At 40.1% G+C, this 26,952-nt stretch overlaps 1 protein-coding gene, 1 long non-coding RNA gene and 1 pseudogene across 3 annotated transcripts in view, besides 1 other annotated feature; 2 read left to right on the top strand and 1 right to left on the bottom strand.

The window, feature by feature from the left end:
• LOC105374090 (uncharacterized) overlaps window positions 1-7,914 on the top strand; it is a 48,528-nt gene extending 40,614 nt beyond the window's left edge. Inside the window, exon 3 of the long non-coding RNA XR_924455.2 lies at window positions 5,002-7,914. This is a non-coding gene — a long non-coding RNA (uncharacterized LOC105374090). The remainder of the gene's footprint in view (window positions 1-5,001) is intronic.
• TXNRD3 (thioredoxin reductase 3) overlaps window positions 7,424-26,952 on the bottom strand; it is a 48,075-nt gene continuing 28,546 nt past the window's right edge. The window contains exons 11-16 of one of the 2 annotated variants that reach the window (NM_052883.3): window positions 22,838-22,914; window positions 22,116-22,272; window positions 15,729-15,836; window positions 11,411-11,506; window positions 8,873-9,007; window positions 7,424-8,347 (exon numbers count right to left, since the gene is read on the bottom strand). In NM_052883.3, the coding sequence (NP_443115.1) occupies window positions 8,279-8,347; window positions 8,873-9,007; window positions 11,411-11,506; window positions 15,729-15,836; window positions 22,116-22,272; window positions 22,838-22,914 (642 nt within the window). In that variant the 3' untranslated portion in view covers window positions 7,424-8,278. The remainder of the gene's footprint in view (window positions 8,348-8,872; window positions 9,008-11,410; window positions 11,507-15,728; window positions 15,837-22,115; window positions 22,273-22,837; window positions 22,915-26,952) is intronic. The other variant, NM_001173513.3, reaches the window with a different exon arrangement.
• Window positions 11,217-11,400: a silencer, noted in NCBI's record as "fragment chr3:126329686-126329869 (GRCh37/hg19 assembly coordinates)". NCBI's record gives its function as "represses an EF-1alpha promoter that drives an FKBP-Casp9 reporter gene in an ReSE screen in K562 erythroleukemia cells {active_cell/tissue: K562}" and the evidence as "EXISTENCE:reporter gene assay evidence [ECO:0000049][PMID:32094911]".
• METTL5P2 (METTL5 pseudogene 2) lies at window positions 25,166-26,482 on the top strand (annotated as a pseudogene).

The raw sequence follows: 26,952 nt of genomic DNA on the forward strand, positions 1-26,952 counted from the left end.
TGACAGGCATATGCAGCAGTAGCTGAAAAGACATTTTGTAGTGTCCTAGTAAAGTACCTGCTTTTAGGAGTGTGATCTTAGCATGTCACACAGCTAACTGCTCCTTCTCCACATGAACAACCAGTTGAGGAGCCCATGCATTGCACAAGGTATCATTCTTTCCCCTGAGCACTATAGAACAGGGGTTATGACTGCTTAAGAATATAGCCAGTGCTCACTGGGCAGGAGTCATTCCCCTGAGTCTAGCATCAGTTATGCCTGTGCGTGAGACATACAATTCAATCTGAGACATACAGGTAGATCTGTACCAAGACAGATGCTCCAAGGCCACTTTAAGGAATGGCCCAATCCCATGCTCTGGTCCTGAATACCAATAATCAAAATTTCCAACTTTTGTCAGTTAAATCCTTAATGGAGGCTCAGCAGAACTCCACAATGCAACACAAAATAGCACAGCTCAAAGTGCAAGCTTGTCAGCAAGCAGCACAGCCAGTTAGCGAGCCAAAGCAAGAGAAGGAACCCCTCACCCTGCCACAATAGTCATCATCAAGATGTCCTGCTTGCTGGCCAACTATTGCGACCACATCAGAGGGACAGGATGGATCTGCAGCCCAACTGTGATTCAGTTGACAAGACTGATGACCTCAAATACACCCCAAGAGCACATGAAAAGGTTTATTACACACATAGTGAGGCTTTCTGGGAGAGGAGGGAAGACTTCCCAAGTTGATGCAGCGGGTGGGGCTGCTAAACACCATGAAATTAGGGATTCCCATGCATGGGCTGGAGTTTTCACAGTCTTAACTTCACACAAGCACCTGGGCTTTTTATCAGCTTGCCCAGATGTGGACAAAGAGACAGGGGGATGAGGTTTAAAAACTGTCAGCAAACATCAAAAATGGAGTGAGGCTCTGTTACAATTGGTGCATTTAGGTCTCCCCCACTTTTTTTTTTTTTTTTGAGACAGGGTCTCACTCTTGCGCAGGCTGGAGTGCAGTGATGTGAGCATGATCAAGCAATCCTCCTGCCTCAGCCTCCCAAAAAGCTGGGACTACTGATGTGCACCACCATGTCCAGCCCCAATCACCTACTAAATTAATATACATGAATTAACATCTACCATGTTTCTAGCTGCTTTATGTTGCACTCATTATTTCTTTTAAATCCCTCTTTTCTGTCTTCTCTGGTTTCAGCTGAGCATTTTATTTTGTTCCATTTTATCTCCTCTCTTTACATATATACTTCCTTTTGAAATTCAGTGATTGTCCTAGAGTTTCCAATATGCATTTTAACCTTCAGATAACACTATACCACTTCACATTGTCTAAGAAAATCTTTCTCTTTCATATTTGAAGGTTAATTTCACTGAATATGGAATCCTAGGTTGGCAGGGTTTTCCTTTAAACATTTAAAATATTTCACTTTACTCTTCTTGCTTTCATGGTTTCTGGTAAGAAGCCTACTATAATTTTTATTCCTATTCCTCCATAGATAAGGTGATTTTTCCCTCTGGCTTTTTTCAGATTTTCTTTTTAAATTCTACAGTTTGAATATGACATGCCTAGGTGTAGTTTTTTGTTGTTGGGATATTTATCCTGCTTGGTGTTCCCCAAGCTTCCTAGATCTCTAGTTTGGTAGCTGTCATTAATTTTGTAGAATTCTCAGGCATTATTACTTCAAATATTTCTTCTGCTCCATTCTCCTTTTTCTTCTGGTAGTTCAATTACACATATGTTACAGCCTTTGAAATTCTTCCTCATTCTTGGATGATCTCTTTTTATTTCCTCATTTCTTTTTTCTCTTTGCATTTCACTTTGGGAAGTTTCTTTCAACCTGTCTTCAAGCTCACTGCTTCTTTCCCCAGCTGTGCCCAGTCTACTGATGAGCCACCAAAGGCCATCCTCATTTTAGTTATAGCGGATTTGATTTCCAGCATTTCCTTTTAGTTTTTAGAATTTCCATTTCTCTGTTTATATTACACATCAGGTCTTGAATGTTCTCTACTTTTTTTCAGTTAGAACCCTTAACACATTTATTTTAGTTGTTTTAAATTCCCAATTTGATAATCCCAACACATCATATCTGATTCTAGTTCTGATGCTTGCTCTGTCTCAAACGGTTTCCTGTCTTTTAGCATACCTTGTAATTTTTTGTTGAAAGCCAGACATGATGGGCTTTGTAAAATGTACTGAGGTAGACAGGCCTTTAGCATGATGTGTTATGTTTACAGGGCTCAGATCTGTGAGTTTTATAGTTTGCATCAAATTTGTAAAAATTTTTTCCATTATTTCCCAAAATATTGTTCTGATGCTCTCCTGCTTCCCCTTTCCGGGACCTTAATTACACATGTTAAACCATCTGAGACTGTTTCAGAGCTCACTGATTCAGCGTTTTTATTTTCTAGTCTCTTCCTTCTGTCCTTCATTTTGGATGGTTTCTACTGCTATGTAGAAACTATCTTTTCTTCACTCATTTTTTTCTTCTACACTGTGTAGTCTGCTGCTGATTCTATCCAGTGAATATTAGTTTGAGGTATGGGCAGGAAACAATGCAATAGGCTTATTTTACTCAGTTCTTGCGTATCCCTGTAGCCAGGACAAGGATCTTTGGCCAAGTCCTGAAAACTAAACTCCTGGAATGGTCACATAGTTACTGCTTAATGATAGTCTTATTATAAAGGCCCAAAGTGGTGGGTCAAGATGAACCAGCTTATCAGTGTCTAAGGTAAACATGAAGATTCATGATGTGCATCTGGTGCCTGGTCTGGCATCCACACCATGCTTCTCATGTAGCTATGTGACCAGTCCCCCTTGAAGAACTCTGAACTCCAGGACTTGAGTGAGCTTCCTTGGGTGGGGATATATCACATGTATCTTTCAGTTCACAGCTGGAGAGAAAAGCACATCTGTATGCCTTTCAAAGAGACATGGAGGTCGTGGAAGCCTGTGTGTGATCTAACCTTTGACTGTTGTTTTCTTTTGTTGTTTCTGCTGTTCCTGCACTTGATCCTTTGCTATAATAATCCATAGGCATGAGTATAACTTTATGTTGAGTTATGAGTACTTTCAGCAAAGTACCAAACTAGCTAAGGCTCATGAGCCCCCCTGAAACAGATATTGTAATTTTTCATCTCAGCAAGTTTGATTTGGTTCTTCTTACCATCTCCCATTTCTCTCATTATGTTTATGTTTCCATGCAAACACTTGAACATAGTTTTAATAGTGGCTTTAACATCCTTGTTAGTTCCATCATATCTGTCACTTCTGTGTCTGTTTCTACTCACTGATTTTTCTTCTGGCTATGGGTCACATTTTCCTCCTTCTTAGCATGTGCATTAATTTTTTTAACCAAATATTGGACATTATGGTTGTCATATTGTTGAATGTTTTGCTGTTTTCCTTTGAAGAGCGTTATGCTTTCCCTTGCAGGCCATTACTTTTGGATCATCGTGGTTCCATCAAGCCTAGGGTTTTTCAATTTTATCTAGGACAGATAGCTTTCACTCCAGATAAACCCTAATACTAAGACATGACCCCTTACCAGGTCTTCACAAAATGCCTGGAGGGATCATTGAAGAATCCTCTGTGGTGGTCAGAGCTTGAACTTTTCTCCACCTTCTGAGACCTACAGTAATTATTCAACTTACAACTCCCTGTCACTTTTTGCCCAACCTTCTAGAATTTCATTCTAAGGATGTGTCCCCCTTTTCATAGGATGTGTCCTCTGAATTCCATTCTAAGGATTTAGTCCTCAGCAAAGACTCAAGGGCACCCTTTTGCAGATTTCTGGAGCTCTTTTCTCCATAGCTCCCACCTGCATCTCCCCTACAACTGTCAGCTGTCTGAACCTCCCTAAACTCTGATGTCCACCATAACTCAGGAAGGTCACCAGGCTGTCTGAGTTCTCCCTTTGTTTGGAGCTGAAAATTACTTCCATGCAGAAAGTTGAGGCAACCGTTAAGTATCACCTCATTTGTTTCCCTTCTGTCTGGGATCACCGTCCTGCAGTTTGTTGTTCCATGTCTGGGTGTAGTCATTTCATATATCCTCCAGTTTGCTTATGGAGGAAAAGTGAGTATAGTCACTGTAATTCCAGCATGGCTCGAAACATAAGTCTCAATAAATATTTAATAATCTTTTGCAATAAAATCCTAACAGGTCTCATTGTTATTCCCTGCTTAGAAGCACTGGATGGTTCTCCATTGGAAAATAAAGCCAACTACTTAACAAGTGTACTATTACTCAAAAATAGATGAACCATACTAAGCCATGTTGTACAACAAATTATCTAAGTTGAAAATCTTTTACACTAGCTCATTCAGATCCATGTTTCAAGAAAAGACTACAGTAACAGAAACTCAATATGGTCTCGTATACCCCCAATTCTAAAAATAAGACCACTAACAGACCATTCCAGCAAATAGTTTTCAAACTCTGACCCACTGCTGCCAAGACACACTTACTAATCTCTCTCCTATAACTACCCTATGACTAACCCTAGTCTCACAAAGTACTCTCTCCTAACTCCCATTTGCAATGATACTGAGACTCGACTCTGTCAAGGCTGAGCTCTTCCTTGCTAAGCTTAATAAACACAGCTTTGTTTGATGAACAGGTTTCCCTAGTAATCTTTGGTGCAAGCTTTGACAAGGATGCTTTAATTGAAGTTTAGCAGGAACCTGTCACAGCCACAGCTCAGGATCACCAACTCAGAGGGCACTCCACTAGACCCCATGAACTTCTCTGCTTGGGGTTTCCTTGTTTGCAATTATGAAGTAAGTTCAGTGCTAAGTCTGTGCCCTAATCCCTTTTTGTTGAATTTTAAAATCTATATGAGGTTTATTTTATCTGTCCTAGGAATAAAGTCCCCAAGACATTTTATTAACTCATCAGGTCTGTACTAGTTTAATTTTCCTTGGTGAATGTATTAGTTATCTATTGCTGTGTAGCAAATTACTCTGAAAATTAGCAGTTTAAATTGCAAATATTTATTCTCTCACAGTTTCTAAGGATCAGGAATTTGGAGTAACCAACTGAATGGTTCTGGTTCAAAGTCTCTCAAGAGGTTACTATCAAGCTGCTGGCCCAGGGATGGCTTGACTGGAGTAGCATTCATTTCCAAGCTCGTTCACACAGACATTGGCAGACCTCAGTTTCTTGCTGACTGTTGGTTGGAGACTTCAGTTCTTCACCATATGGGCCTCTCCATAGGATTCCTGAGCGTCATCAAAACATGATAGCTGCCTTCTCGCAAAACAAGTGACCTGAGAGAGTGCATGAGGGTGACCAAAACTTAAGCTGCAATCTCTTCATGACCTAATCGTGGCAGGGACATACCATCACTCCTGCCATATGCTACTGGCCACACAGACCAGCCCTGGTCTAACAGGCGGGGATTATACAAAGGTGTGATTTCCCATTGGTGGAGATCCAATTTGGCGGCCAACCTGGAGGCTCCCTTCCACAGTGAAAGTCTGCAAGAGCAGCAATTTGTCCCCCTTCTTCCTGTCTGCCTGCCTACTGGTTGTACTGTTGAGTGTCCACAAGAGCTTTCCTTAATGGGACCCTACTTATCATCACAGAAGCCAAGATTTTCCATCCAAAGTGCTATATTAACAACTTAATAAATGTTGTTCAATTCTTTAAGTCTGTGAGACAGGTAATACTGTCCATACTTAATAAATGAATAAGAAAATTTAAGCAATTTATCCTATCACACATCTAGTAAGTCATGAGACCAGGCATTCCCAAGTTTATCATTCTTCAAAGCCTAGGAACTTTCTATTGCTCTCTGCTTCCTGTGAAGCAGCTCCTGGTTCTACCAACTCTCCAGCTTGTTCTCCCACTAACCCCTCACTTCCCTCACACCAACTCCTCCCTCTACTTTCCATCATGCTATATGGAGTTTAAGGTCTTTGGGTTTCTAGTTAGTCCCACCGCTGAAATCCTCTTGCCAATGCCTATACGACACTAGCCTTTTGAAATTTCTTAAGCCTAGCCTTTATGGCCTAGCACAAGGCAAACTCCATAAATATTCCATGCATGCTTGAAATGAGTGTGCTTTCATATTGGGTACAATCTTTGAGTTGAGCTTGTTAATTCTGCTACTCAAAAATAAGTCTTTACTGATTTTTTTGTGTGTCTGACCTAATAAATTACTGAAGTATGTTAAAATCTCCACTATAACAGACACTATCAATTATTTCTTGCAGATCTATATACATCTGTATGTTATTTGATGCATACTAGTTTTATCTTCCAGGTAAAATTAGTCTCTCATCAATATATAGGTACCATATTTACCCCAGGAGAGGAAAAAGAGGAAAAAAGAGGGAGAAGAGACAGAGAGGAAAATAAAAAGGTGAAAGGAAGCCAACACAGATAGGTTTATATGTAAGCATCCTCCCCTCCTTGCAAAAGAAAGATAATTAGCCGTTCCAATGGTCTGTAACCTGGACAGTGGTTACAAATGCTTAAGATGGATTGCTTCTTTCCACCGACATCAGTGAGAACACAGGCTTCTCTGCTGCCTCTCTCTATGAGGCAGTCTGCTTCCCACTCAACTTTGCACTGGAGTACAGCCCATTGGGCTTCCAGCTTTATACAAAGGTTTCCTATTAGAAATTCCACCCATGCAAGCCTGGGATTTCGTTTTTTTTTGCCCCATGCTCAGTGCAAAGCAGGAGTTGAAGGCTTCCAGGGTTTTTGGTTTTGCTTCATTTGGGATTCTGCTGGCTCTGTGTGTGTGTGGCACTCAGCAATACAGTAACAAAATTATTAAAAATATATTTTATCAAGTATTTAAATCAAGTCTGTTGAAAGCATTAATCACACCCTCTCCATATTGCTTCTAATCTAATCCTTTTATCTCCTGCAATTCAGCTCAAATACAGCTACTTTTATTAAACTCTGTTCAATTACCCTACCCCTGCCCCACAGCCAATAGAAATTAATAACATCTCCCTCGGCTTCCCACTGCACTGTTTCTGCCACATGGATAGCAATTACCACACCATACTTTACACCTTTTAGACACATTTTTTTCTCCCAAATAAAAAAGCCACTCCATAACTAGGTCCTATGTCAGTTTTCTTTGGGTTCCCAGCCCCACTCCCCCACTGCTCCATTCCCTGCCTCCAAAGAGGGTAACAAAATGCCTGTCTACAAACAGTGTTCCTAACTGTTAGCTTAACATTTGTCTTTTAAGACAAATGGCTAGAAATTGTGACCCCAGCCTATCCAATCTTAAGCTAAACAGCTAGTGTGGCTCATGAGAGCAAGTGGCCTAAAAGAGCCTTGCATTGACTACTGTGTGGCATACTCAAGAACACAGAGGTTTTCCAAAAGGACCTTGGATGGGCCTCTGTCTTGAAGGACCTCTGAAATGCTGACATGTTTGTAAATTCCCATGCAACCACTTAATATTACCTGTATTCATTTATGGAACTTTATCATCATTAAACAGACTGTGATGGAATTATTTCACAGATAAATTAGTTAGATTTCACATAATACAGTATTAAAAACTTTTGGAAATAATACTATTAAGATGAACATGAAAAAGCAATTCAAGTACTTTTATCTTACATGAGATATTTTGCTCAGTCTCGAGATATTAATTAGGGGAGAATAGCTTCAAGGTTATCACCACCAAGTAGTGAGTGTGAGGGTGAAGCATGAGTCAGCGTTTTGACAGTAGGTTAAATGTGCCTCAAAAAAGAAAAGAGATGACTAACCCTACACAGTGTGTACAGCTTCCTGCTAATGCAGACAGCTATCCAAATGCAGCCCACAGCAGCCCACAGACACTGTTCACCAGTGAGCATGTGTGAATTCTAGGCCCACGCACTAGAAAACCACTACTTTATAGCATTTCTTAACTGAAAATATATTTTCACAGAAACAACAAAGCAAAGGGGATAAAAACAATAGCGACCAGAAAAGCTAACTTAGGTGAATGGTGCCACTCAAAGGTCTTTCCGAGGGAAGCTCAGTCCTGGCTTGCGAGAGTCAGCCTTGGCTCACCTCATAACGGGGCTCCAAGCTAAGGCGTCAAGGAAGCAGTCCCACTGCTTCTCGCTGTCAGCAAGACCACAAGGCAGATGCCCACTGCTGTCCTCTTTCCTTGTCTACTTTCTCATCTAAGTGTCGTAAGACAGCCCTGCACTGGTCCCTGAGTAACAGAGCAGCTGTCATGAGCACAGGCTCATTTTATCCGAGAGCATTCTTATCTTTGAGAGAAATGAGAATATGACAAGGAGAACTAAACAGCAGCAGGCCTAGCCTCAGCAGCCTTTCTGAGTGATGTCTAGTCCTGACGACTTTGTGATTTCCAAAGTCGTGAACACCTGTTCAAGAGAAAGAAAACAAATACATATTTAGATGTTAGTATTGTTTTAAAAAAACACATTCTGAATATTATATTTATGCTATTCTTTAAAATATACAAATCTGGCCAGGCATGGTGGCTCATGCCTGTAATCCCAGTACTTTGGGAGGCTGAGGCAGGTGGATCACTTTAGGTCAGAAGTTCGAGACCACCCTGGCCAACATGGTGAAACCCCATCTCTACTAAAAATACAAAAATTAGCCAGGCATGGTGGTGCACACCTGTAGTCCCAGCTACTCAGGAGGCTGAGGCGGGAGAATCACTTGCACCTGGGAGGTGGAGGTTGCAGTGAGTCAAGATCATGCTACTGCACTCTAGCCTCGATGACAGAGTGAGACCCTGTCTGAAAAAAATAAAATGAAATAAAATAAATTTAAAAATATACAAATCAGTTACTAATATGACATCTTTCTGACAAGTGCTTTATAATAGTTTTTCAAACTACATCAACTGAAGCCAATTTTTAAAACCTCCTGTTTCCTACCTCCCCACATGTGGGGTGAATTCCAATGGTGTCATCAAGTAGCTGTTTTGTGAGCCCACATTTCATTGCAGCTGCAAATCCTTGGGTAACCTCACCGGCGTTTGGTCCAAGAATATGAAATCCTATCACCCGATCCTTTAATACAGAAACAAAACAAAGAGAATCCCAGTAGGTTAATGGTCTGAATATGGATCCATTCACTGCAAATTCACAGTTAAAATATACAGTATCTACTACAGAAAAAGAACTTCAATGTCAAAGTGAGCAGAGAACATTACCATGAAACTAAGCCACTGTAAGAATCTGTTAAATGAGCCAGTAAATGCACATCCAGAGTTAATTTGCACTCAAATTTACTAGAACAAGCAATTTACCCACTGCATGAAGGAGTTCATTAGTATGATGTAAATTTCCAAATTATGCTGAGACAATGCTCAACAACAACATAACAAATCTGAATTAAAGTCCAACATTGGAATAACTCTAGGGCAGCAGGTTTTACTGGAAATAAGAGGTTGCTGGCCCAGGAAGCAAGATGCCCTGCTCCCAACATCAAGTGGAGACAAAGGAGAGGCTGGTGCAGGGCTGTCACCCAGGGCTGTGTGCTGAGAGGTATGGGGTGCAGGCAATGAGCTGACCCACCAAGATGGGAAGCAAGATGTGCAGTCGTTTTCCACGGTAACGGTGCATTCTAGGCTGTCCATTTGTCAATGTTCCTTCATCAGATTATCCTTCACTGTGATCTTCAACAGTAAAAGCATACAATAGATGAAGAGAAAGACTATAAAAGGGCAACGGAGGCCAGGGCCAGGAGAAACCCTTGCCCACTAAGCTTCTGGAAAAAGCAACAGCTCAGAACAGTCACACGCATCCACATCTGCTGACGGGCACTCCAGAGGGGAGGCAGGCAGAAGCTGCCAGGGCTGGGACTTCAGAGTGAGTTCCCAGGGCCCACAGAAGACTACTGCATTGGAACCTGAGGTGGTGGGTTGCTCAGCAAGCAGAAAAGGGGTGTAAATGAAGGTCCTGAGTGAGGAAAGTCTCATTTACAATTTTGACCCTAGAGCTGGAGTCAAGTATTTCCATTTCGTAAGTTCGAGGGTTCTGCTCAAGAAATAGGCATGTGGCCAGGGTAAAGGGAAGGGGCATGCTCCCCATAGTTAAAGAGCAAGGACAAGAGTGTGGCCTAGGGATCTGGGCGGGAGCCAGAAGGGTGGCGTGGGACATAGCAGAGGGGCTCAGAGATGGGAAACGGGGCTGACAGCCACAGAGGTGCAGCCCACACCCTCATGAGGAGGTCAGAACTAGCATGACAGCTGCAAGTCCCACCTTCAGCAGCGGCTCTCCCATCAAACCCCAACCCTCTCACTTTCAGAGGGTAACAATGTGTACAGTCTCTCCCTACTCCCTTTGGAAAGGCCGCCCACAACTGCCAAAAATTGACCTCAGATAACTCTGTCCCAAAGAATCAGGATATAGCCCAGCACATGAGCACCCACCCTCAGGAGCACAGCTGTGAACCTGCCCAACCTGGAGCATTTCAGGGCCATTATGACCGCCATCCCTGTCACTGCCCTGTAGCCATATGCAACTACCAACAGACTAAGCCCTAGAGCTCTGGATGACTTCACCATTCAGGCAAAAGAGCACATGCTAATGGGCTACTAGCCTGCAACACCCTGTTTTCTGTTATACTGAGAATAAGATAAATACAGAGATGTGAGAATTAAACAAGATAATGACTGCTGTTCAGTAAACTTTTATGTAGATGTCACTTGTTGCAGTTCATATTTATCTATTTGTATGTTTCCTCTCCCCAGATGATAAACTCTTCAAGAGAAGAACCAAGTCTTAACACTGCTTTCTACATTCAGAATTCTTTATAAAGCAAATTATAAACAAACTGTGCTTTAAACTACGCTACTGAGGAAGGCTATTAACCATTTTCATGCTCACCCCTCATAACTGGGAGGAGGAAAGCCTCCAATAATGGGCTGCTGCTTTAGTGAAAGCATCAGGAATTAGCTCAGTAAGTCAAGTTTCACTTTGTGTGAACATCTCCATCTAAAGACTTTTGACACACATTCAGTCTGTTTATAAAATGCATACATACAACTTATTATTTGATGACCAAAATTTTCACAGATCTTCTAGTTCTAAACTATCAAGTTTAAACTATCAAGCTATCAAGATGGCCCTGGGAAAAGGCAGCTTTCAGTGATGTATTTTGAGAGGACACTGGTAGGGCTCAATCACAAACTGTCACTGCTCAGCCTCTGTGACATGTTAACTAAATGACAACGTGGAGGTGCTCTGCATTGTCCTGAAAGCTACCTTAGAAAGACTATAAAAGTGCAGCAGTCCCAGCTGCTCAGGAAGCTGAAGCAGGAGGATCACTTGAGGCCAGGAGTTGGAGACCAGCCTGAGCAACATGGCAAGATCCCGTCTCTAAAAAAAAAAATTATAGAAATCCAAATACTAAAAATAAAAGCTACATTTAAAAATCACAGCATTTTGGCTTCTAGTGGTATTACATACATGGTCGAATTTATTGCAGATTATCTTTGCATAACAAGTGTTGTTCTCTCTGCCAGCTACTGTCCATTCAAGAGGCCAGAACAAAGTATGATATATCTGGAAGATAAAAGAGAGAAAAAGGGCAGAATTAATGTATATGGAAACCATTCCTTGATAGGCTCTTTAATTCTATAAAGGCAATAATCTCCATAGCAGCTTTCGGAAATTCAAAGTTCAGTGACCCCAACTTTATGTATCTGTTGGGAGCCCCAGGGTCAAGGCTCCTGAAATGCTAGCTGCATATGTGTGTTGACTGTTGTTTTGCTTGTTTGGCTGTTAGTCCAAGCAAAAATCCACAAACAAAATTCAGTTTTCAAACATGTATAGAGTACCAGCAACCCAAGGCAGAGCACTAGGCACAGGCTCTCGTGTGGGCTGCAGAGTTGAAGACTGAGATCCTGACGTCAAAGCTGACCCTGATAACAAGGCTCACATTCCAGCAAACTTGAGGAGGCGCAGAAGAAATAAAACCGCTCCAGCCATTTAGAGCTCCAGAACCCAGCCATGGGAGAGCAGGGATCATGTCTCTCACATTTCTGTCCCCAGGCCCTCATGCCAATGCCTTGAGTGTACCTCTATGCCTCTTCAATCTGGCTCAGTCTTCTAAGAACCAGAATAAAATGCCATGTGCCCTCTCTCCAGCTTGGGGTTGCTGTGTTCTCCCAGTGTTGCACCTCTGAATCACTCCATACACAAACAGGCAGTTAATGCTGAGTGACAGAATTGGAAATGTAGTATGAACAATAATCCACGATGGATGGATTTAAATTTAAAAATACCACCCAGAAATAACCATTTTAAATGTTAGGGAAAAGCATTAATTGCTGGTGCATGTAGAGTTAAAACAAAATTTTTATTAAGGAGGTATCACAATATACAGTTACTTGTAGCCAAAAACAAAATTGATTTAACTTGTTTTTAACAGAAGAGAAATAAACTCTTCTACCCATTTTTTTGTTTATTTGTTTGTTTGTTTGTTTTGAGACAGGGTCTCACTTTGTCACCCAAGCTAGAGTGCAGTGGTGAGATCTCAGCTCACTGCAGCCTTGACTGCCCAGGTTCGAGCGATCCTCCTGCCTCAGTCCCCAAGTAGCTGGGACTACAGGTGCGCATCTCCACACCTGGCTAATTTTTGTATTTTCTGTAGAGATGGGGTGTCGCCATGTTGCCCCAGCTTGTCTCGAACTCCTAAGCTCAAGTGACCCACCTGCCTCAGCCTCCCAAAATGCTGGTATTACAGGTGTGAGCCACCAGCCCCCACCACTTCTACCTATTTTAACACAAACATTTTAATCTCTGCAGCTACTAGAAATAGACATATTTCTTTATCTTAGGATACACTTTCCTAAAAATACACCTCTAAGGTTAAAAAGAGATGGTACAAACTCTTACCAGGTTTGTTTTTTGTTTGTTTGTTTGTTTGTTTTTGAGACAGAGTCTCACTCCAGGCTGGAGTGCAGTGGCACAAACTCGGCTCACCGCAAGCTCTGCCTCCCGGGTTCTCTTACCAGGTTTTAAACATGATTTTTAAAACAGCAAGCTACTATTTCTGATGTGTTCTATCACTTCTGCTATGAAGGAAGGAGGTAAACACTCACACTTACCCTCATTTCCTTTCATTCTTTCACTGGTTTTGTCAAATGTGGTTTTTCCTTCTAGCACTTTGAAGATTTTACTATATTTAAATTTCTTACCCTTCTGGTTCAAAGTGGATGTGAAGTGTGGATTCAACTTCCAACTTTACATTTTTCCTTAATAGCTACCCACTTATTCCAGCACCCTTTAATGGATGGCCTGTGTTTTGCCATGGATTTAAAATATGACCTTATCACATACTAATTCTTACGAGCATTTGAATCCATTTCTGGGTTTCACATTCTGTTCTACTGATCTTGCTGTCCATCTGTGTGCCACTGCTGCACAGCTGTAAGCACTGCAGCCATGTGATAACATTTCATATTTAATTAGGGCTCCCCTCATTAAATTACTCTTGAAGTTTTTTATCAACTTATGCACAATTACAGACATAATTTTTAAAGCTCTGCTGTGGAAAACAGTGATCTCTGACCCCACCCATTTCAATGAACCCAGAGGCCACCACCTTCACCTCTTTTATTTAATCATTTGGGTATTTACCTCTATGTTTCTAAATAACATGCTTATATTGTTACTGCCTGACTTTCCTATTTAGGCTTTATTTATTGATTCGGCTCTATGCAAGAGCAAGATGAGCTCTCTTCCCTGTCCCCTAGCACTCACTCTAGCTCCTTCTTGCCCTCCTCCATCCCCATCTTCCCAATACAGTTATACTCTTAGCTACAACAGTTACCAGTGTTTCCTTTACTATGTAAAAGCTATTCAAAGACAACTTGAAAGCAACAAGCAAAGGATGAAGCTGCACCCTTAGCTCACAACATTGACAAACATTAACTCAAAATGGATCACAGATCTAAATACACTCACACTTCCTCCCATCCCCAATCATGCACTGCATGTGTTGCAAAACAATGCTGGTCTATGATGGATAGCATATGTGACTGTGGTCCCATAACATTAAAATGGAGCTGAAAAATTCCTGCCACCTAGTGACGTTATAGCCATTGTAACATCATAGTGTAACACATTACTCACTGTTTGTGGTGATGCTGGTGATGCTGACACTGCACTGCCAGTCTCCAACAGTCTAACATATATAATCATGTACAGTACATAATACTTGATAAAGATAATAAATGTGATATGACTATGATACTGATGTATGTATTTATTATACCATACATTCTACTATTATTTTAGAATGTACTCCTTCAACTTATAAATTAACTGTAAAACTGCCTCAGGCAGGTCCTTCAGGAGGTATCCAGAAGAAGGCATTGTCATCATAGGAGGTGACAGCTCCATGTGTGTTACTACCCCTGGGACAGGATGTGGTGGGAGAAGATGGTGATATTGATGTTTTTGACCCTGCGTAGGCCTAGGCTAATGTGTGTGTTTGTGTCTTCATTTTTTTATAAACAAGAAGTAAAAAAATTAATAGAAAAAAGCTTATAGAATAAGGATATAAAGAAAGAAATTATTTTGTACAGCTCTACAATGTGTTTGTGTTTCTCTATAATAGGAACTTTAAAAAAATACTAACAGATCACATTTTCAGTCCTGTCAAAATGCAATAAATAAATAAATAAAACAGGTGAGTTGATCTGCAGCAAACCTTGGTGGAAAGACCTTAAAGTAATCCCCAAAACTTGAGGAACTTGTTTCCTATAAAGATACTCTTTTGTCTGGGATACAGGCTTGTACATCCTTCCTGTCATGTGCCTGACATCTTCCTACCTTAATTTTTCATTAATTTCAGAAAGTTTTAAAACTAAATGTTAAATCCATAATTACTATCATCAATTTTCCAAGACCCACATAAAGACCAACCAATGCAAAAAGGATAGCTTATTATTATATAAACAGTTAGTTATAAACGCTGATAAAATAATGTTCTCTAAAATGTAAATTTCAAAAATAACCATCTAAAATAACATTATAAAGTTTTAATCACACATTTCCCCAGCACCAGAAATTTAAATAGGAGTTTCTTAAATCCTTAGGCCATTTAACTAGGGAATATCAGTGCTGTGATTTAAATACATTCTCAATAATAAATTAAATCATACAATCAAGGGAAAGCACTGTGATTTCAATTCTCTTTTACTTGAAATATCAAGTATTAATAACCCTCCAATTCTTTTTATCCTCCCTCTCCCTCCTAGTTGGGAGAGTAGGCAGAAAAAAGCCAATCAAACTTCCCAGCAAGAAATGATGTAAGAAAATATTTTTAAGGTTATAATTGGACAGGGTTGGGGGGTAAACAAGAGGTAGCAATAAAGGTGTGTAGAGGGCGTCCTTTTGGAAATCTGAAGAGCCCACAGGCAGACAACCCTGGAACTTCCCACCTTACCACCCGTAGCCATTCCTACCCCTGCAGTCCCAAAAGATCTTAAAATAACTTTGAGCTTCCTTGTACAAGTTTGCTCAAATAGATTTTTGTTACTTGTAATTCAAGTGTCCTGACTTATAGATTACACTTCCCTCTTTCCCAACCATATTCCTCTTCTTTGCTAGACAGACAGGATTTAAATTAATTCCTAATTTTCCTAAAATAGGAATATGATTTCCTACAATATAACCATCATAGTAACTTGCAAAATGATGAAATAAAAAGTGACCGCAAAGATAAATTGTTGATTAAAAGAGAATTTTTTAAGGAAGTAATAAAACACAATCTTACTTCTAGATTCTCTTTTTTATATACTTCAATAGCTTTCTCTTCAGATAATCCACAGCAACCATACTCCAGAGGAGTAAACACTGTAGTCGGAACATTAATATAATCACACTGAAAGACAAACAAATTACATTGTCTTATTTTGTGAAACTTTATAGCAAAAATCTATATTGCATATATTTATATAAAGAAAATAAATCAGTCCAGTTCAGTGTAACCAATTCTTAAAACATCAACAGCTTCAGGAAAACTCTAAGGTACCTTAACAGAGATCTGGGATGGGCCCCTGACTCAGGGGAAGAGACCACACACTGGCTAGCCACCAACAAATGGGACCGGCTCTCCTGGAGCACAGACTCGGAGGTCTAAGAACCAGAAGTAAGAGGTGGAGGTGGTGCCATCCATCTGCCCCTAAAGACACTCTCCAAAATGTTTTCTTTCCATGCCCATGATTCTGGGCTCTGCTCCTGGAGCACTTCTTCCAGGCAACCTTGAATTATGCTACTTCAGTGGAAGCTGAGACCACCTCTTGGCCATTTCATATTCCTTATGCCACTGAGAGGTGAGGCAAATATGCAGCTCAACGGTGCTGGACTAAGTGTTCTTGACCATCAAAGGGGGATGGTACATGTGTGAGTGTGTCTGGAGGGGGGTGCTAATACACCGCAGGGACAAGGATGACCACAGGTCATCTCTATAGTCCAGGGGTTAAGAAAGAACCATCTCCAGAGCCTTTATCAGACTGAGTCAGAGAAGAATGGACATTGCAAGGTGGCACTCCTGCCTAGGAAAGGCCCCAACTTGGGAGAAGAGAGGGCCTCTCTGGCTGTGTGGAGAGGAGCTGGAATACTTTGGTGGGTGAACCATGAAACCATGTGCATGGAGAGAAAGCTGTGTGTAGGTGGCAGAGAAAAGGTGGAAGGTGCCTGCTCAGCCACAGCCCCTTCAAAAGACACCACCATCCACAGCACTGTATGTTCCCCAATCCCTGCCAATGGCCACAAGTGATTAGACTGGGGACAGCCATCTGATCTCACAAGAGCCAACACATAAGCTGGCCAGAAATCTACAGAATGGCAGAAAAAGGTGGGCTGAGTCAATCCAATTCTTTCTTTTATAGGAAAATTAACTAGAAGGAAAGAGAATTTTCCAGGTGGTAGAGGAACGGGAAGAAATGGACCTGCAGAGTTGTCGCCAAGTTAGGCCAAGGAGGAGCACATCTGTACAAACCCCCCACTGTGCTGCTGGGCCCCAGAGCAGCTGGGACCCCACCTCCAAATGCAGGCAGGCCCAGCCCTAGTATAGTTCTTTTTTTAGGTTCCTCTGTGATTCTACCTATTAATCCCAGGATTCTTACAGTAACCTCCCTCAATTTGCCTAGTTTGAGTGAGCTTCTATTCTTTGTTACCCCAAAGAAAACCAAAACACCACCACGTATCCCCCAAATCAATGAGAGGATTTGCATACAACACAGGTAAGTTATCCATCAGCCTAGATTCTTACACTCTCATGCCACTTCATATTTGCCTACCTGCAAACCATGGGTAAGCCAAGAATTTATTTTCTTTTCCCAACATGGCTGACAAAATCACATAACTATGTGAACTGCCTGGGTATTTTCTGACTTCTCTGAGGCACTCACATGTTGCCGATCCATTTATTGACTGGCAGCTGACCCTAGATTCCATAGCTTACATGGGAGGCCTCATTCTTAATAGATGCCTTTGTTTCCTGTTTCATATCAACTAAGAAAAATAAACAGGAAATGGCTCAGCTTTGCCCCTTTCTCCTAAAAACTTTCTCCACATCTTACATCATCTCCTTCACCTGGACTTGACTCATGCTATCCTTCTTATAGGCTTCTTTCCGTCTTGAGCCTTTCATCTCTTTCTTTATACTCTACACATATTGCTCTATATTCTAATCCCTCCTCCCCACAGTCACCATGATTAACTCCTTACAGCATCAGGCAACTGCTCTGCCGACATACACCCCAAAATGTTATTTGCAGTTGAGATAATTCCTTGCAAATTTAGCATTCCTGGTCCCCATCCATTAATGCCAGCAGAGACCCCTCCCCAGTGGCTGGCTTCATGCACCAAATACACCCACCCACAAGGTCTCCATGCAAGGCCTTGGCAGGTACCTGGGGGATGAAGCAAAGCAGAACATGGCATTCCTCATGGAGAATCCGTGCCCAAACCTCTTCATCTGAACACACTCATGCAAAAACAACTGGAGAAATTCAGAAAGTGGGACATTCTACAAGAAAAGTAACCTGGATTCATAAAAAAGTCAGAGTTAAGAACTGGAGCAAGACAAGGATGCCCACTGGCACCAGTCTTATTCAACACAGTACTAGAAGTCCTAGCCAGAGCAGTCAGGATGAGAAAGAAATAATGGGCACCCAAACTGGGAAAACAGGAAGTGAAACTGTCCCTCTTTGCAGACAATATGATCTCATATGTAGAAAAACCTAAAGATTCCACCAAAAATTCTTAGAACTGATAAATTCAATGAAGTTGCAGGATACAAAAATCAACATACAAAAATCAGCAGTGTTTCTATACACCAATAACAAACTAACTGAAAAAGAAATCAATAAAGCAATTCCATTTATAATAGCTACAAAAAATAAAATATTTAGGAATACATTTAATCAAGTAGGTGAAACCACTCTACAATGAAAACTGCAAAACACTGGTGAAAGAAACTGAAGAAGGTACAAAAATGTAGAAAGATATCCCATGCTCATGGATTGGAAGAATTAATATTGTTAAAATGACCACACTACTCAAAGCAATCTACAGATGCAATCCAATCTCTATCAAAATACCAATCACATTCTTCACAGTAGTAGAAAAAACAATCTTAAAATTTTTATGAAACCACAAAAGAAGCCAAATAGCGAAAGTAATACTGAACAAAAAGAATCAAGCTGGAGGCATTACACTACCTGATTTCAAAATATACTACAAGTTATAGTACCCAAAACAGCATGATAGTAATATGAAAACAGACACATAGACTATGGAACAGAACAGTGAACCCAGAAATAAAACCACATATTTACAGCTAATTAATTTTTGACAAAGGAACCAAGAACATACACTGGAGAAAGGACATCATATTTAGTGAATGGTAGTGGGAAAACAGTATATGTAGAAGAATGAAACTGTACCTCTATATCTCACCATGTGGAAAAATCAATTCAAAATGAATTAAAGACTTAAATATAAGTCCCCAAATTATAAAACTACTAGAGGAAAACAGGAGAAATCCTTCTGGACATTGGTCTAGGCAAAGATTTTATAGGTAAGACCTCAAAAACACAGGCAACAAAATGAAAACAGACAAATGAGACGGTATCAAACTAAAAAGCTTCTGCAATCAGCAAAGGAAACAATCAACAGAGTAAAGAGACAACTGTAAAATGGGAGAAAATATTTGTAAACTATCCATCTGAGAAGGTGCTAATATCCCTACACAAGGAACTCAAACAACTCAGAGCCAAAAAAAAAAAAAAAAAAAAGAATTTGATTTAAAAATGGGCAAAGGATCTGAACAGATGTTTCTCATAAGACATACACATGGGCAACAAGTATATGAAAAAATGCTTAGTATCACTAATCATCAGGAAAATGCAAATTGAAGCCACAATAAGATACCATATCCTGGTTAGAATGGCTATTATCAAAAAGACAAAAAATAACAAAGGCTGGTGAGGATGTGGAAAAAAGGGAACTCTTACATACTGTTAGTGAGAATGGAAACTAACACAGCCACTATGGAACACAGTATGGAGGGTCTTCAAAATACTAAAAACAGAACCCCATATGATCCAGCAATCCCAGTACTAATATTTATCGAAAGGAAAGAATCAGTGTATCAAAAAGATATCTGCACACCCATGTTTACTGCAGCACTATTCAAAACAGGAAAAAATGGACTCAACCTAAGCATCCATAATGCATGAATGGATAAAGAAAACGTAGTATATAAACACAATTAAATACTATTCAGCCATAAAGAAGAATAAAATCTGATCATTCATAGCAACATGAATGAGCCTGGAAGACATTGTATTAAGTGAAATAAGTTGGGCACAGAAAGACAAATACTGCATGTTCTCACTCATATGTGGGAGCTAAAAAAGTTGATCTTATAGAAGTAGAAAGTAGAATTGTGGTTATTAGAGGCTGGGAAGGGTAGGGTAAAGGGGAGGATGGGGAGAGGTTGGTTAATAGACACAAAATTACAGCTAAACAGGAGGAGTTAAGTCCTAGTGCTTTACAGCACTGTAGGGTGAACATAATTCACAAGAATTCATTGCATATTTCCAAAAAGCTAAAAGAGGATATAACAGAATGTTCCCACATAAATAAATGACAAACGTTTGAGGTAATGGATATGCTAACTACCCTGATTTGATCATTACACATTGTATACGTGTATCAAAATATCACTCTGTATCCCATAAATATGTACAATCATTATGTGTCAACTAAAAATAAAAGGAAAAAAGTCACTGTCATAGAAAATAAAAAACAAAGGCAGGGGGACTGTGTCAGATTAAGAGACTTAAGCGTCATAAGAGCCACATGTACTGAAGCGTCAAAAGAGCCACATGTACTGTGCAAATCAAAACACACACACACTCTTGGCCGGGCACGGTGGCTCATGCCTGTAATCCCAGCACTTTGGGAGGCTGAGGCAGGCGGATCACGAGGTTAGGAGATTGAGACCATCCTGGCTAACACAGTGAAACCCCGTCTCAACTAAAAACACAAAAAATTATCTGGGCGTGGTGGCAGGCGCCTGTAGTCCCAGCTACCTGGGAGGCTGAGGCAGGAGAATGGCATGAACCCAGGAGGCGGAGCTTGCAGTGAGCAGAGATCGAGCCACTGCACTCCAGCCTGGGCGGCAGAGCGAGACTCTGTCTCAAAAAAAAAAAAAAAAAAAAAATCACACACAAACACTCTTAAGGAACAACTGGGGAAATTGAATATTATAGTACTTTTGTTGAACTTCTCAGATATGGCAACAGAACTGCAGTTACGGAGGTAAACATCCTTGTACTTAGGAGATATATACTGAAGTAGTTAGAGAAAAATGTCATTGATGCCTGCCACTTCAAAAAGTGGCAGCAAAAAGCTCAGCAAAACAAAAAAGGAATATGAACTACACATACACATATTCAGAAAAGGAGAGACAGAACAAAAACAGCAGGATGTGAATAACTGGGGAATCTGGGTGAAAGGTTCAATATGGGCGATTGTTTTACTACTCTTTCTGTCTTTTGACATCTTTCTAAATAAAAAGTTGGGGGAAATAAAGGTCTCAACAGATCCCTACTGCCTAGAGAAGGCCCTACCAATTCTTCTTTGTGGCAAAGATTTTTGATGATCTGGCACCAAATTAGTTTTCCAGCCTCCTTCCCAATTGTACTTCCCTATCACCAACTACTCTGCCTACACACATTGCAAAATGTTCTATTGCATTGTGTTTGGGACAATTTTTCTTTGCATGAGATGGTATACTCAGCATTCCTGACCCCACCCACTAATGCAGCAGGGCCCTTCCCCAGTCATCCGTCTCCCGCCAACTCCACCACACGGCCACAGAGCTCCTAACAGAGCTGAGCAGTACTTCCCCAGCTGAAAGCTCCTGGGACACTACTCATAGTCCTTAGCACGAGCCAAGCACTACAGGTCTCTGCGTCCTTAGCCGAGTTATCTGCCCACCTGAAAAGTCCTCCGCTTCCTCAATTTTGAATTACTCATCCTATAAAGCTCATCCCAAATTATTTGATTTAAAAATATGAAAAGTGGAAATCCTCTGTAGAAATCATCTGATTCACATCCTTGGCTTTGTCGATGATGAAATTAAGAAGATCCTCAGAAGTTAAACAACCTGACCATGTTTACAGGCCAAGTGGGCACTGAAGCCAGGACCAGAATCCTGATTCATGCCAAGAGCTCCTATGCTATTACAGTGCAACAGTCCACTTATGAAGGCTTTCCCCTCCCTGCAGCTAGAATTAAACATCCCTTCAGTGTCCCTAGAGCAACCTGCTGACAGCACTCTGGCACACAACCACACTCTGCCTTCTGCTCAGCCTGTGCCTGCCTGACTCATGATCCCACCTACCTGGTAAGCCCCTGGGGCTGACCATGGCCAGTGCTTTGTGTATCACCCAGCACAACATCTTGCACACAGTGGACACTCAAAAATACTTATTTTAATCCATTAGTAAATAGTAAGTCTACTGCAAATTATATCTCTGAGGAACCCTTTACTTGGAAAACAGGCACACAAGTTTTACTTGTATTAGTTTTAAAAATCATGATCTTGATCAGGACATTATCTCAAAAACAGTAAGAAACTTACCTTTTCTAAAGAGGCCCCAAAAAGTCTCTGAGCTAGCAGCTTGCCTGACTGTATGGCGACAGGAGTGAGCTCTGGCTTATCCTCCAAAATATCACCAACAGCATAGACATATGGCACATTGGTCTGTTCCACATCATTTACAGGTATTTTTCCACTCCTATTAGTTTTTGAAATGGGAAAAAATATATATTACAACTCACTCTACACTGCTGGCTGACTAATACTATTAGCCAAAAGACTAAATACATAGAAGACCTCTTAAAATTCACGCACCTCAGGATATCAATTATATATAAGGTCAATGACTTAAAGTAACAAGGGTTTCTGTAGCTCCAAAAGAAAATATCTCTGGTGAAACCACAGGCATTTCCTGGATGCCAAGGATATCTATAGACTGCCTCCACAGACTCACTTAGAGCTTTGGAATTTATCTCTTTCCCTGACCAAGGACATAAAGATGTGCTCTAAGTCACAGACATTAGGTAAATATATCTCTGCAATTATTTCTTAAAGTCATTGTTTAATATATGAGCTTTTTAAGGCATATGAGCTTTTTAAGTAAGAGTTACTGATTGATGAAGAAATTGATTATAAAGAGCTGGCACTGAACTTATAAGATAAATTAAGACATATCTCAGTAATTAAATGAGAATTTCTTAGAGGTGATCTGCAGAAACCTGTTGCTTTGTGCAGCAACAGTGCAGTGATCCCAATATACTTACTTCTCATTAATTTTGACACCAATCTTCTCCAAGCCTATTTTCCTTGTACAGGAGTCACGACCAATAGCTAACAAAACCTGCATTTGCAGAGAAATCAAAAACACAAATTATCCATATCGGGAATGAAAGAAGGAACATCACTATAGATCCTTCAGACATTAAAAGGGTAATAATGGAATATTACAAACAATCTATGCCAATAAAGCTGACAGCTTAAGGTGAAATAGATTCCTTAAAAGACACAACTTACCAAACTTCACAAGTCTGAAAAGTCTACAGGCTAAATTATGTCCCTTCAAAATTCATATGCTGAAATCCTATCTCTAAGTACCTCCAAGGGTGACTATATTTGGAGACAGAGCCTTTACAGAGGTAATTAAGGTAAAATAGGTCATATGGGTGTGCCTTAATCCAGTATGACTGGTGTGCTATAAGAAGAGGAGGACATGGGCAACACAGACCAAAGGATGACCATGTGAGGACACAAGGAGAAGACAGTCATGTACAAGCCTAGGAGAGAGGCCTCAGAAGAAACCAACCCTGTCAACACCTTGATCTTAGACTTCCAGCCTCTAGAACTGTGAGAAATACATTTCTGTTGTTTACGCCCCCTGGTCTGTGGTACTCTTCCAGAACTGTGAGAAAATAAATGTTGTTTAAGCCACACAGTCTGCGGTATTTTGCTATGGCAGCCCTGGCAAACTAATATGTCCTATACCATTAAAGAAACTGAATTCTCAACTTGTAAATTTCTCATAAATTAATTCCAGACCCAGACAGCTTCTATAGGAAAGTCTATGGAATACTTAAGTACGAAATAATGCTAATGGTACAAAAACTCTTTCAGGAAAGAGAAAAAGGGAGTACTTCCCAACTCCTTTATGAGGCCAATATAAGCAGCTGACACCAAAATCAGACAAGTGCATTAAAAGAAAAGAAATCCACAAGCCAACGCTCCTCATGAATATAGATGTAAAATCTTTAATGAAATGTTAGCAAGTCAAACATAGCAATATATAAAAAGGATAATTGTTCGTGATCAAGTGAGTTTGTCCCCAAAATGCAAATTTGGTTTAACATACAAAAATCCATCAATGTAATTCATCATATTAACAGAATAAAGGAGAAAACAATTCAACCATCTCAATAGATGCAATAAAGCGTTTCACAAAATTAAAACACTCTTTCATAATTAAAATCTTCGGAATAAAAGAAAAGACAATTTTCGTCACCAGATAAAAGGCAAGTGTAGCAAACTTACAGGTCACATCCTGGCAATGATACAAGACTCAATGCTTCACCCCTAACACCAGGAACCAGACAGGCATGCCCATTCTCACCATTTCTAATCAACACTGTATTGGAGGTATTAGCCAGTGAAACAAGGCCAAAAAAAAAAAAAAAAAAGATTAAAAGCATGCAGACTGGAAAGGAAGAAACAAAATTGTTTTTATTTGTAGATATGAATCCTAAGAAGCTACAAGGTCAATATAAAAAAAACTGTATTTTTATACACTACCAACCAACCATTTAAAAATGCCATTTATGTTAGCTTTAAAAACATGAAGTATGTTTAGCAAAATATGTGAAAGACCTCTAGAGCCCAATGATAAAACATTGCTGAGAGGAACTAAGGAATACACAAATAAATGGAAAAACATATGAGGTTCATATGTTGGAAAAATCAATATTGTTAAAAAGTCAGTTCTTCCAAACTGACTATGGAAAAAAGACAATTCCAGCCACAATCCCAGCAGACTTTTGTTTCTAAAAATTAAAAAGCTGTTTTTAAAAGTTATATAGAAATGCAAACAATCTAAACAAAATTAGAGGACTCACTCTACCTGATCTAAGACTTACCACTGAGCTTCAGTAATCAAAACAATGTGGTACTGGGGAAAGGACAGACAAACGGTCTATGAGAAGAGCACAGAAATAGACCCACAGTTAAATGGTCTTTCTTTTTTTTTTTTTTGAGATGGAGTCTTGCTCTGGCACCCAGGCTGGAGTGCAGTGGCGTGATCTCGGCTCACTGCAAGCTCTGCCTCCCGGGTTCACGCCATTCTCCTGCCTCAGCCTCCTGAGTAGCTGGAACTACAGGCGCCCGCCACCATGACCGGCTAATTTTTTTGTATTTTCAGTAGAGACGGGGTTTCACCGTGTTAGCCAGGATGGTCTCGATCTCCTGACCTTGTGACCTGCCCACCTCGGCCTCCCAAAGTGCTGGGTTAAATGGTCTTTCATTGAAGATTCCAAAGCAATTCAATAAAGAAAGGGAAGTCTTTTCAACAAATGGTACTGGATATCCACACGGAAAGAAAAGAACTACACAGTGAAGCACGTATGCTCTATACAATCCATAACACATGTGATGAGGTAGAAAATAAAGTGGCTGCAGATCTAGGATGTGGCTGTGGAGTGCTTAGTCTTGGAACTGCAATGTTAGGAGCCAGGTTGTATGTTGGATTTGACATAGATGCAGGTGCACTAGGAATATTTAATAGGCATGTGGAAGAGTCTGAATTAACATATGTTGGCATGGTTCAACGTGATGTGTGCTCATTATCTAATGGAATGTCCAAGTCAGTTGAGACAGCAATTTTGAATCCTCCTTTTGGGACCAAAAATAATAAAGGGACAGACATGGCTTTTCCAAAGACCACTTTGGAAATGGCAAGAACAGCAGTATATTCTTTTTTTTTTTAATATACTTTAAGTTTTAGGGTACATGTGCATAATGTGCAGGTTAGTTACATATGTATACATGTGCCATGTTGGTGTGCTGCACCCATTAACTCGTCATTTAACATTAGGTATATCTCCTAATGCTATCCCTCCCCCCTCCCCCCACCCCACAACAGGCCTTGATGTGTGATGTTCCCCTTCCTGTGTCCATGTGTTCTCATTGTTCAATTCCCACCTATGAGTGAGAACATGTAGTGTTTGGTTTTTTGTCCTTGCAACAGTTTGCTCAGAATGATGGTTTCCAGCTTCATCCATGTCCCTACAAAGGACATGAACTCATCATTTTTATGGCTGCATAGTATTCCATGGTGTATATGTGCCACATTTTCTTAATCCAGTCTATCATTGTTGGACATTTGGGTTGGTTCCAAGTCTTTGCTATTGTGAATAGTGCTGCAATAAACATACGTGTGCATGTGTCTTTATAGCAACATTATTTATAATCCTTTGGGTATATACCCAGTAATGGGATGGCTGGGTCAAATGGTATTTCTAGTTCAAGAACCGTGAGGAATTGCCACACTGACTTCCACAATGGTTGAACTAGTTACAGTCCCACCAACAGTGTAAAAGTGTTCCTATTTCTCCACATCCTCTCTAGCACCTGTTTCCTGACTTTTTAATGATCGCCATTCTAACTGGTGTGAGATGGTATCTCATTGTGGTTTTGATTTGAACAGCAGTATATTCTTTACCCAAATCTTCAACTAGAAAACATGTTCAAAACAAAGCTGCAGAATGGAAAATCAAGACAGATGTTATTGCAGAGCTTCGAGATGATCTGCCAGCATCACACAACTTTCAGGAAAAGGAATCAACGGACAGTGAAATGGACCTAATTCAGTTTTCTTTTCAAAAGTCTCCAAAACCAAAAGCAACTTAAATCTAATTAAAATGAATTCTAATTAAAATGAATGAGAATTAATTTATTTACTAAAAAAATTCAAGGTAGATTATGGACTTAAACATAAAAGCTAAAACTATAAAGCTTCAGGAAGCAAACAAAGGGATACTTCCATGACCTTTGGGTTAGCAAAGATTTCTTAGAGCACACAGAAAGCATGAAACATAAAGTAAAATACTAATAAAATTGAACTTCATAAACATTTAAAACTACTGTTAACCCAAAGATACTACTGAAAAATACATAGGCAAGTCACAGACGTGAAGAAAATATTCAAAATACATATATCTGAAAAAGGAATATGCCCAAGATATATAGAAGCCCTGCAATTCAATAAAAATTCAAACGATCCAATAAAAAAGGGCTGAAGACTTGAACAAACACTTCAAAGAAAATATACATGAATGGCCAATAAACACATGAAAATTGCTCTACATCATTAGTCATCAGGGAGATGCAAATTAAA

Source organism: Homo sapiens, chromosome 3 (genome assembly GCF_000001405.40).
Source record: "Homo sapiens chromosome 3, GRCh38.p14 Primary Assembly".
Taxonomy (NCBI): Eukaryota; Metazoa; Chordata; class Mammalia; order Primates; family Hominidae; genus Homo; species Homo sapiens.